An 11813-nucleotide genomic window follows, 5' to 3' on the forward strand; every position below is an offset into this window, starting at 1 on the left:
GGGCAGTAGTCCAGGAAGCGTTGTAAGAGACTGAGGAAGGGAGCCAGTAAAGGTTATCCATCAGGTTACTGCTGCTGGCACATGCGGACCTCTGTGAGCTGGTGTAGAACACATCTCAGGGTTATCCCACCCAGGGGGCCAGAGAGCCGGGTGTTTATCCACTAACCCCCGTCCGTCACTGGTTGATGCTCCTTGGGAATGTTAACTCCTTGGCACTCAGCCAGCCCACATGCAGCCTGAAGACCCCTGCTCTGGCAGGGGTCTGGACTGGGAGTTTGGGTGGCCATGGAGATGAAGAAATGCACTTAATATGGCAAAATATTGGAACTTTCTGGACATTCTGATGATTCACAGGGGACACAAAGAACAGATTTTTACTATCATAGTGCCCTTACACCCCCTGCTTTGCAGGAACTCCTTATGGAATGGAAGCACATCCAGGCTGAAGGCCCCTGTGTTCCAGATGCTGTGTGAGTGTTGACCTGCCAGGCGACTCCACGATGGCTTCCGTCCTCAGGTTCACCATCAACTAAGACAGACTGAAGATGTAAGTAGTAATGGAAGGACACAAAAGGTACAAGAGTCAGAGGCCAGGCCAAGAGTGCAAGCTGAGCAATGGGCAAGGAAGGCCTCCTTGATGGCTAGCTCCAGAACTGGGACTGCAGAAAGAGGAATTTTCTCGATAGAAAGGGGTGTGGGCCTTCCAGTCAGGTTCAGATCCACAGAAGCATGCACATGTGGTATGCTGGGGCACCACTGCACCACCGGGGAGGGTCATGCTGGAAAAGAGGCTGCAGGATCTGGGACTCACTCTATCCTGGGGCAATGGGGAGTTTAGGAGAGGGTGAGTCAGATCAGCATGAAGTTAGCCTAGAGTCAGGAAGATGAGTTAAGAGGTCTGACAGTCTATTGAAGTAAAATTATTCATTACAGAATAGCACCATGTATGTTTCTAAAATACTTGGTGCCATATTTATTCTCCTGAGGGATTCATCTGAGCACTTAGAAAAGAATAACTGGGCCATTGAGTCTTGGTTGAAATCATTCATTCATCCAACCAGTATTCATCAAGCATCTCCCACATGGCCAACGCTGGGAACCCAGTGTTGAAGTTGGAGGAGACTTCACTCACATGCCATGAGAAGTGCAAGGAAGAGGACCAGCTACCTGTAGAGCATGTTACAGAGGAGTCAGGTCTGGTCTGAGGTTGGAGGTCCAGGAAGTGACTGGAGTTGAAGCTTGAAGGAGTTGGTATTCAACATGCAGAACTGGGAAAAAGGCATTCCAGGCAGAGGAAGCAGCTTGTGTGAGGGCACTGGGGTGAGAGGGAGCATGGTTCATTTGAGAAGTTAAGAAAGCACAGAGAGGAGGAGAATAGGGAGGGTTAGGGGAAGAGGGGGTAGGGCCTGTGCCAGGCCTGGCCCTGCCCTTTAAGGTGCCAAGTCCTTGCAAGCATTGGAAGTTAAAACATGATGGCCATTTATTGATGATTTATTGATCTCTCTGTATCCCCTTGGGCACTAGCGGATTCTCGACAGAACCACAAAGTGGAGTTGGCTGCAGATGAGTCTGTTCATGGCCCCAGTTTCTCACCTATTCCTGAGTCACCTTTTGCCCCTCAGACACAGAGATGGGATAGCGCCAGGATGTGGGTTTGTGTTGTCTAATTTCTTGGAGTTTGTACAGGTTTTACCTGGTACCAGCGTGACCTTCCCATGTACCCTCTTGGTCAGCAACTTTTTACAAGGAGTTAATCCCACTTTCTGGAACTTGCTCATTCTCAAAGTGAGTGGTTATTGGTCCTCAAGACAGTCCGCAGAAATTTCAGCCCCATGGGAAAGAAAAAATTCCAGGTCTCTACCTGATGCTTGGAAAGCCAGCCATGTTAACTTAGTCAACACCAATGCTCATCAAATACACACATTTATCTAGTGTTCCCAACCTACATTCCCAGCCTGGGATTCTGTGGGCCAGAGGCCCCAGTGTAGAGATTATAGCCTAATGTCCCAGCAGAGAATCACTGATTGCAGATAGGAAAAATCCAGACATTTCTGAACTCCAAGACCACAGTGATTTATGTGGCCTGGTGATAAGCTATGATTGATATATTACTCAAAGTTTCTGCTTCCCCCAACTCTGGCAAGAACTTTGGCAGAACTTCTATGCCATATCCAGTACTAGGAAGTTGCCAAGTTTATGTCCTTAAAATAAAGTGGGTTCCAAGATAGATGGCAGAAAGTGGGAAATGTGATTTTTCTTGATTGGGTAACTAAGAACCACACAGCATGCGGGAGCCATTTTGGGCCAAAGAGCTGTTCATTTAAAGTGTTTATTGACACCTGGAAATAGGGTTTAAACTTCAAATGCTATTTTCACATCAAGTTTATGCTATATAATTTCATAATGGTGATAAAATCCAGGCAGCTACCAAAAGGAGAGCTCCCAAGTGATCTTACTACTGGGTTTCCGTAGTACAGACATTCAGGATCCTGGACCCGCTGAAGCCAGGGGAGGAAGCACCCTGGCGGGTCACTGGCTGATGGAAGGACAGGCGCCGTGATGGTTAAGTGTGTCCATGTTGGCTACCTGATTTCTTTTCAGCCAGTCTCAGCTTTGGTTGGTTTGTTTGACTGCCTCAAATCCTCGGTGGTCACCCTTATTTTTTATCTGGAATGTGTTCCCCACTCTGTAGAGGACTGAGCAGGGAGATTGCTGTGCATCCTTGAAGGGTTCCATTTTGACCCTGATCATCCTCAGTAGACATGGAAGCTACTCCAAGCGTGGCCTTGGAGGTTTGGGGACCCTGGACAGCATACAAATGGAGGGGTGAGGGGCAGCCGAGGGAAAGAAATTACTCAGAATATGCAGTAAGAACCATGTCTGGTTTCTGGTTTCTGTGTTTGGCAACACAGTAATGGGATTCCTTGCATTTCTCCCAGAAAAGCATTGGTGGGGAAAAAACTTTGTTCTGGGAGGTATGGTGATCATCAAATGCTATGAAGGCCCACACTGGACATACTTAAGCTGTGGAGGGCTGTGTTTCCCTTTGAGCATTTATTGAAGGCAGATCCTCTTCCCAGAGAAATACCAACACACAGGTAAGTTTGTGTTCAGGACCCGGGACTCCTTGGAGCCATGGATACCCACCCATGACCCCTATGGGATGGGGAAGTTCACAAAAGGCACAACGAAAAAAAGTCTTTCAGGTGGGGCTGGGGAAGGCAGTGAAATGTTAGCATATGCTTGCTTCCCGGTTCTCACTTCTGGCTGTTCTCTGTCCTCTCTCCACCTCCGGCAGCAGCAGCACAAAGGCATCTCTACGCCCATCGGCCTGCCCCAGAGACCTCCCTGGCATGGTGTGGTGGGGCAGCTGGTGTTGTGAATCAGGCCGTTGCCAATCAGAGAACGGCTACTTCACAACACCAGGGCCACACCACACTACAGGCAGCATTCCAGCTCCAGAACCCGCAAGGGCGCCCTCTGGCGAGGCAGCTACACCCGTCACAGAGGACCCTCGGCTCCAGAACCCAGGCACGCGGCTTTCCAGTTCTGGGCTGGCTGCTGCAGCTCCCCTGCAGACACTGGCCTCCTGAGGCTGCTGTTTATCCCCCAACACAAATGCTCCACTTTTAAAGAAAAAGACACTCCTGGTAACATTAGCTTCCTACAGAGAAAATGGTGCTACCAGGTTTCCCACTGTGAAAATGAAGTTATGGGCCATCAGGAGGGTTAAGCGCCACTCAACTGAACATTTCCTCCTAGGTGCCAAAACACACAATGGTTGCGGAGTTGGGACCTTTGTTTTGATACTTGGTGATGGTAGCTTTGAATAGGGCAAAGTAGAGGGAAGGGAGGACCTAGTAATAGGACGGTGGCCTCCTGGAGAGAGGAAGGCTCTTTGTAGCCACACATGCAGGTAATGCATCCACTTCCTAGATGGTCCCAGGGTCCCTGGAAAGCAAACACCTTTCTTGGCCAGGGAGAGTTCCACAGCTCTCCATCAGTGCATGTCCCAGTGACCTGAGGGCTGGACGAGAACCAAGCATGGGATTGTTCCTAGGGCACTGATCTGCCAGACACTCCATCAAAGGTAATACTTGCCATCACCTGTGCTGACAGATGGGCTTCCTTTCCCCAGGTCCTTACAGCCATGGACCCAGCAGAGCTGGAAAACTAATGGAGGTCTCTAGAGTTGGAGTAGTATTTTGTGCCTAACTTAAATCTTATATGTGACATCACCATTTTTCAGAGCCCAAGCAAGAGTTTTCAAGATAGAGTGGCTGGGTTGGCTGGTGTCCTTTCCATAACGCTAATAAAAAGGAGGATATTCCTCTCTCTAGTTTTCTACAGGACAAAGATCCAGAGCCACTCTGATTAACTCAGGCCCAGTCTATAGTCTGTTTGTATAGGGTTCTTGCTGCTCTGAAAACCAGAGAGACGGATAAAAACAAGCACCATGCAAACCTTGCATAGCACCCAGGTTACATAGAGCCTGAGTTAACCAGAGCCACCTGCATCTGTATCACCTTAGAATTATGGAGGGTGAGTCTACTTCTGTAAAGTTCTATCCCTCACTCCATCCCTATATCGTTAAGGGCATCTCTGAAATTTGTACTAAATTATGTTTAGGGACAAATATCTTCAAAGCAAAATAGTCCCAGTTTTCAGAAAGGGCTTCTTGCTGTCTCCTAAGAATTCATCCAGTTACCAACTCCCCTACGACCAACGGAGTCCAAGCTAGAGCCACTCATGGTGTGGTCCATGGGTGGCAGCTTCAGCATGTTGGAAAAGCAGGATCCCAGGGACCACCATGCACCTGCTCCATCAGAATCTCCAGTGGCCAACTCGGGGAACATAGCCAGACCTAATCTCTATAAAGAATGTTTTTAAAAATTAGACAGGGGTGTGGTGGCACACACCTGTAGTCTCATCATCTCCTCAGGCAGCTGAGGTGGGAGGACGTTTTGAGCCCAGGAGTTTGAGGCTGCAGTGAGCAGAGATTGTGCCACTATACTCCACCTTGGGTAACAGCAAGACCCTGTTTTAAAAAAAAAAATCTCCAGTGGGGACAGCAAGCTGGGCAGGAACTATGTTACAGGCACTCCAGGGGATGCTTCAAAACCACTTCCACCCTTTTTGGGTCTCCCCACAACCTCTCCAGCTTCCATTTCAGCCTTATCTCTTCCACATGTTATAACCAGAATGATCTTTTCAAAATGCACTCCTAAATCACGCAAATGCCTCCCATTCCTGGCCTTATAACTGCTTAAAGGGTTGTCCTCACGCTAACTTCAGTGGGACCCATGAATGACATCCACTCCCTTCCCTACCCTCCTCCCTTTTTATAAGATCCCTCTGGCCCCTGCCCCAGGGCCTTCGTTCAGCTCCACCCTATCTAGAAGGCTCCCAGCTGCCTCCAGACTCCCATCATTGATGCCTGACCGTCCTCCAAGTTTCAGACAGAGCCAACTCCCACTACCCAGAAGGCCAGGTCAGGTAACAGCTCTCCCGTGCACTCAGCAAGCTGAATTCCATCCCTTCAGAGCATTCATCTCATTTTGTCATTACTCGTTCATTAGTGGGAATCTTTGCTGAATCTGTGTCTTTCCCACTGGTCATAAGCTCCTTGAGGGCAGGAATATTCAGCTTCATTCACTGCTGTACCCTCCAGCCTAGTTCAGTGTCTGGCACTGAGTAGACACTGAATAAATCTGTTCAATGAATGGATGAGCACAGCCCAAGCCCAGCGTCCTTCAAGGTCAGACACTCTTGCTATTTGTTGAAGCCCTGGGTCTTTGTTTCCTTTCAGTGGTATCATCATTAATAGCAGCAGGCAATTACAGAATAGAAACTGTGCCAGGCACTGCCCTGAGCCCTCCATTTACATTTAGCCATGTACTCGGTACCTCCATTTCCTCCTCATAAGCAGGCAGGTCATGTAACCACCCTATCAGGTAAGTACCAAGACCACACCATCCATATTGTTGGTGATTGGTGTCGCTGCTGTTTAAACCCAAGCACTCTGGCCTCAGAGTCCATGTGCTGAGCCACTGCTCCCTGCTGCTGAGGAGCCAGCATGAAGGGGACAAAGCTGATGATGGAAGTCCAGGGCCGCTCCCAGGGACTGAGCAAAGCCTTCTCCATTCTCAGAGGCTTCCACTCTGGTTTCTTAAACCAGGTAGACCAGGCAGTGTTCTCTCCCTTTGTGCATTTGTAGATTCTAACCTTGTTTAAAGCACTTCATAATGGAACCTGATTAAAAACCTAATAAAATATAAAATGGGGTCAAGTCCAGAGAGAGAATGAGAGAACCATTTAAGATCCAGAGGATGCTCTACTTAATTTTGGTATTGAGCTGCTGAATTCATTTGAAGTTTGTACAGTGACCTTCAGAGGTTGAGACTGCAAAGGCAAATTGTGCTCCCCACCCACCTCACCCCACCCCTGCCCAGAACTCTTTCCTCAAGGCTAGCCTAGGGGAGCACAACCTTGGGCTGCTTCCCCTGCATGCTTAGATCCAGCCAGAGCCCCCCTGCTGGGCCACAGACCTCCATCCCCATAGCGGCTTCTTTTCCAAAGTGCATTCACCTCATTGAGAACAGCCTCTCCCCTCCTGAACATTCCAGACATTCCACTCAGGCTGACTTAATGCCACCTGGCCAGAAAAAAACAGTGTCCATTCCCCCTTTTCTAAAACCTTGATTTTGTGATCGTTTGAACCTTTGAGTTTAGAATCACTGTATTATAACTTCCTTGGGATCCTACCTTTGCAGCTAGCCACATTCCAAATTATAAGACTCTCTCTGGAAGCCCGTTGTAGACAACCAAAAGCCCTGATGATGTAAGGGAGCTCGCCAGACACACACTTTCATACTCACCACCTTGTCTTAAGCTGCTTACCATCTGCTGGCCCCAGTCAGCTCTTCTGGGAAAAGCTGCGTTTGGAAAAGGAGTTCCCCGAATGTATTTAATATCAAATGGAGCAATGGTTCTCAAAGTGTGCTCCCTGGAGCAGCAGCAGCACCAGCATCTCCTGGGAACGCTTTAGACATGCACATCCTCCAGCCCCACCCACCCCTGCTGAGTTAGAAGCTCTGCGGTGAGGCCAGTGCACTCAAGTTTGGGAACTACCAATATAGAGTAAAAGATGGGGGAGAAAACCCCTTGAGTATCAAATTTAGAAGGCCACAATAGTGAAGCGTCTGTGCCTACTGTTTGCAGAATGTGGAAGGTTTAGGGTGTTTACTACTGTATGTTGAATAATGATTCTCTTAAAACTTTTGTGAATTGTAAAAGTAAATCCCTAGGAATGCTGGGCAGTGATAACCTGACTCTCCCATTTTCACCTGCATACACATACCCAGAACATCCTTTTCTCCTTCACAACAGGGAAGTTGGAAGGTAAAAGTTATTTTCTACCAATATAAAGTCTTAGATTTTTATTTACTAAATTCTTAACACAGTACATGGCACAGTTACCTTTTAAAGGCTTTCCATTTCTTTAATCTGAGCCCACAGCAACCCCATTTTAAGGAGAGGAACTAGAGCCAGAGAGATTTAGGAGCCAGCCTGTACCTCAGGAATGAGAGACATTACTTGCGGGAGCAGAGATTTGAGCTCGGCAATACTCCCAGACCCACACTTGCCCTTGCTTTTGATTTTCTACCTCCCTAATGAACAAGTGGGGATCATGAAAGTCAGCTGTGCCCAGCTTACTTAGAGCACCTGTTTCTGTCTGAGCAATGAAAAGCCATTTGATTGGCGGTCAACTTGGAGAAACCTTGACCCTAAAAGATAATGCCATAAAGACCAAACACACTGGGCGATCATATCATTTCAACTTGACAAAATTTGTCGTACTCTTTTCTCGAGGTGGACTTCTTTTTTTGCTAGTGGCAGGGGTAGATATCCTTGTTTTGCTGGTAATTATCACCATTTACCTTAGACTTCATAGGTGGTTTTTTATGTATTCCTCATGAAAGCCATAGCCAAAGACCTTTTCAACCCCAAGCATCTGTCTCTTGGTAGGTACTGGCTTCAGGCAAGTGGCTTCTCTCATTAAGAAAATACAGTAATTTGAGTGTCATTGCTACAAGGGAAGTGTTCCTATGTACTCCATCACACCAACTGCAGTGAGACTATCAGGAAAGCTTTGGGTACCCTCCCCAGGAAAACTGCACATCACTCTGCTGAAATTTCAGGAAAAGTTTACGGGTCTCAAGGACAGAGTTGAAGTCAAAAAATTTCACCTTCATGTTAATTTTTTATGGATTTTTTAAGGGTGGGGGGAGGCAAAAAGATTTATTTCACCATTCCCTTTGTCTTCTTAAAACTCAGAAGAAACCTCACAGACCAATGAGAGAGTTTGAAATCGCTATTTTAAGAGGCATAGCATAAAAGAATTTTGATAGAAAAGTAGAGCAAAATAAGCAGTAAAACCTCATCCCTAACATTCTCCAGCTGCCTGACATCCTGGTTCAGTTCCAGAGACTTGGACCACTGCTCCCTAGTTCCAGGGGGTGGCACAGGAGCCAAAAACGAGACCTGAGGCTGAAGCCCAACAGAAGATGAAACTTGGGAGCAGCCTCAGCTTCGGGAATCCTCACTTCCTGGCACAGCAGGTTTGGGTGCCACAGAGCCCAGGGCTAGACACCTGCCAGCAGTCCATCAGTCACAGTCTCAGATGAGTGGCATCAAGGTGGAGCCCACTGAGGTGAAGGAAGGAGCTGTGAGGGACACCTGCATCCTGCTGCAGAAATGTCTGCCCCCCGCCTTGTCCCACCGCAGCTCTATCTCACAGTTGGAGAAGCAGAAGCAAAGCAACCTGTCCTGGACCATGCAGCCTGGTCCTCTGTTTCCAGAGCCAGAGGTCTTTGTGCTCTGAAACAAAGACAGTGACCCCATTAACCCACTGGCACTTACTGTGTGCCAGGCACTCAGCCTGTGTTGTCTCATTGCAGCACAGAGCAGCCCTGGGAATGGAAGCAGTGTCATCATTCCCATTTTTCAGGTGAGGCACAGGCTCAGAAAGGTCAAGAAACTTGCTCACGGTCTCACAGCTGGTGAGTAGGTTGTCAGACTCCAAAGATGTGTGCTGCTAACCCTGCCCAAAGGGACTTCATCCTCCTCCCTCCTTCCCAGGCAGTTCTCCCAACCACCCACCAACAGGCAACGTAGGTGTGATTGCCTTCAAAGTTTTCTACTTGCCTTCAAGCTTGAAGCACTGGAGACTGAGGGAAGAGAGCACTGGAAGTGGAGGAAGAAAAAAGAGCTGTTCCCTCCAAGGTTGTTCCCTTGGGCCTGACTCGACTGGAAGAAGCAGGGTGTATATGTGTGTGTGTGTGTAATTGACTTTGTGACCATGAAACTGAGTTAATACTCTTCTGTCTTTGCCTGTTTCTTCTTGTACATCACCTAGAGGAATACCCATTAATGTTTAGAGGCAGAGAACAATAGAAAATAGCACTGTTCAAGGACCAAAAATTTAAAAAGACTGCTGACATACAGCATAGAATGTGAAAGTCCCTGATAATCTTATCCCTAGGGATAACCACTTGCCATTTTTTTACAATTTCAATTTTTTATGATTATAAAAGTCATACACATTTAAAAATACTTCAAAATAAATACAAAATAAAAATAAATGCTTCATTGCTTAGGTTACCTTGGTACATGCAAGGTCTGAGACCACATCCATCAATGCAGTTTGCTGCGTGGATTACCAGATCTCTCCAACATTGACCTCAATTTTTTACTCTGAGAGCAAACAGAATGGGCAAGGGCTGACCTGAAATCCTTTTGAAACACAAGCTGGATCCTAGGGCTTTGACCTCCACTGCTCACTGCCACATGGGATCCGTCTCTGTGCCCCACTCTGCCCCAGCCCCACTGGCCTTCCTGCTGCTGCTCACACAGGCCTACTCTTAAGGCCTTTGCATACTCTGTTCCCTGCAGAGGCCTCTGCCTCTGAACAAATGTGGGACCCATCTCTGCCAAGGCTGGGAAGCAAACAGCCCCCACTTTGCCTTGTCAGCCTGTGTTTGCACCATTCCTGTGGTGGCCTCTCCCAGCTGCTTTCACGTGGGATTTGAGCTCTGGGAAGCTGGAAGTTTGTGGAGTCCACTTCCCTCATTTTGCATATATGGATGATAAAGCCCACAGGCAAGGGCTCTGACAAAAGGAAAGATTCCTTCCATTTGGCATTGTGATGCAGAGGCTGTCACAGACAAGCCTGGGAATTTGGGATACATCTTGCTGAGCCTAGAGACAGAAAAGAGCTTCTAGGCTGCCTTCCCTGAGCCCCGGGCCAGGCCCCTCCAGGACACACTTGCATGGCACCCTGTTCTTTAAAACACTGCACACCAACGACTATGCAAAGGATTAACTGACTTCTCAATATTCTTGTTTTCTACCGAGTGATAAGCTTCAGAAGGACAAGGTATGAGTCCGTTTTGCTCTTTTGCCTTCCCCAGCACATGGCACAATGCCCAGCACATAGTGTTTTGAGAGACAGCTGACTGGCTGTCTCATACAAGGCCCTGCTCTGTTGGGCACAAGGGCTGCTTAACACATTCCTATGCTACAAAAGACAGTGCTCCTCTCCAGGAACCACCAAATAAATTCAGATACTAATGCCAAAAAGAAGGCAGCATCAGCTTGGGAAAAGAGTGCCTTTAAGGCACTGTTTCTCTCTATGAAGGCAGTGTGGAATGATAGGGATGATCTAGGACCTAGAGGAGAGACCTTAAGTCTTACTTGCAGCCAAAAGCCTTCAAACCTGAGCTAGCCAGAACTGTTACATCAGAATTCTCACCCATGACAAGAAGCCTGGAGGGAGTCCAGGGTTGATGGATTGACTTAAGGTGTCATCAAAAGCTTAGACTTTACCCTTCTGCTGCACCACCCTTATTGCCTTGTTGTCACAAGAGGACTACTGCTGTTCAAGTCATCACTTCCACATTCCAGAAGGAAGAAAGGAGAGGTAGAGGGCCAGAAGTATCCCCTCCTTTTATCAGGAGCCATTAACTTTCCCAGAAACTTCCATGTCCACCCAGCAGACCTCCACTTACATCTCACTAGGCAGAACTCCTATCACTTGGCCACCCCAGCAGTCAGGGAAGCTGGAAGGGTGAGCATTCAGCTATAGAGAGTGGAAGCACAAGCAGCAAGGGAAGAACAGGTCAGTAATTGCTGTAGAGTTTCCTGCCCAGCAGCATCTGCCAAAACTAGGTAAATTATTTTTTAACATAATAGTATTTTTGTGGATTTTCTTACAAAAGCAATGCATATATATTGTTACTTTGAAAAATAAAGATTTTAAATCTTCAACAAGCCCATTACTCAGGAGTGATGACTGTTATTCTTGGTTTATTAGCTTTCTAGATCTTTGTATTTTTTTTAACGTGGGTAGAACCACAATATGGGTTGCTCTGAAATTAGCCTTTACACTTGGCATTGTGAAAAATCTTTCCAAATCATTAAATGTTCTCTGCAGAATTACATTTTATGTATTTGTGTTTTATTGAATAAGGCACATAATTTGTTTATTCAGTCTCTTGGTGTTCGGCATGTTTATAACAGTAAAATGTGAGAAACCAAAACTAGTGATTCTCCTTGTAGCTCAATCTTTGACCCAGATGTTCCCCTTCTAGGAATGTCTTGGAGTATCTGTGGTTGTGTACATCTTTAGAGCTTTTGAAACTTCCCACCAAATCGCCTTTTTAGATGAACTGTTCCAATGTACGATCCCAAGAAATGAGAGTACCCATTTCCACCCCCTAAAATTTTCACCAACACTTAAAAAAAAGACTGGG

General features: G+C 47.1%; 1 long non-coding RNA gene and 1 other non-coding gene across 5 annotated transcripts in view, besides 1 other annotated feature; both read left to right on the forward strand.

Annotated features, from left to right (window-relative positions):
* The window catches only part of LOC124909489 (uncharacterized), a 123033-nt gene extending 111534 nt beyond the window's left edge, over positions 1-11499 (forward strand). For 3 of the 4 annotated variants that reach the window (XR_007096254.1, XR_007096255.1, XR_007096253.1), the window contains one exon: positions 412-11499. This is a non-coding gene — a long non-coding RNA (uncharacterized LOC124909489). The remainder of the gene's footprint in view (positions 1-411) is intronic. The other variant, XR_007096256.1, reaches the window with a different exon arrangement.
* Positions 3347-3445, forward strand: MIR138-1 (microRNA 138-1). The gene has a single exon (NR_029700.1). It is a non-coding gene; the product is annotated as a microRNA 138-1 (primary transcript).
* Positions 3392-3891: an enhancer, noted in NCBI's record as "H3K4me1 hESC enhancer chr3:44155749-44156248 (GRCh37/hg19 assembly coordinates)". NCBI's record gives its function as "activates a minimal SCP1, AML or CMV promoter by ChIP-STARR-seq in naive H9 embryonic stem cells {active_cell/tissue: H9 hESC(naive)}" and the evidence as "EXISTENCE:reporter gene assay evidence [ECO:0000049][PMID:30033119]".
* Positions 11500-11813: the final 314 nt, after the last annotated feature.

This window comes from Homo sapiens, chromosome 3 (genome assembly GCF_000001405.40).
Source record: "Homo sapiens chromosome 3, GRCh38.p14 Primary Assembly".
NCBI lineage: Eukaryota > Metazoa > Chordata > Mammalia > Primates > Hominidae > Homo > Homo sapiens.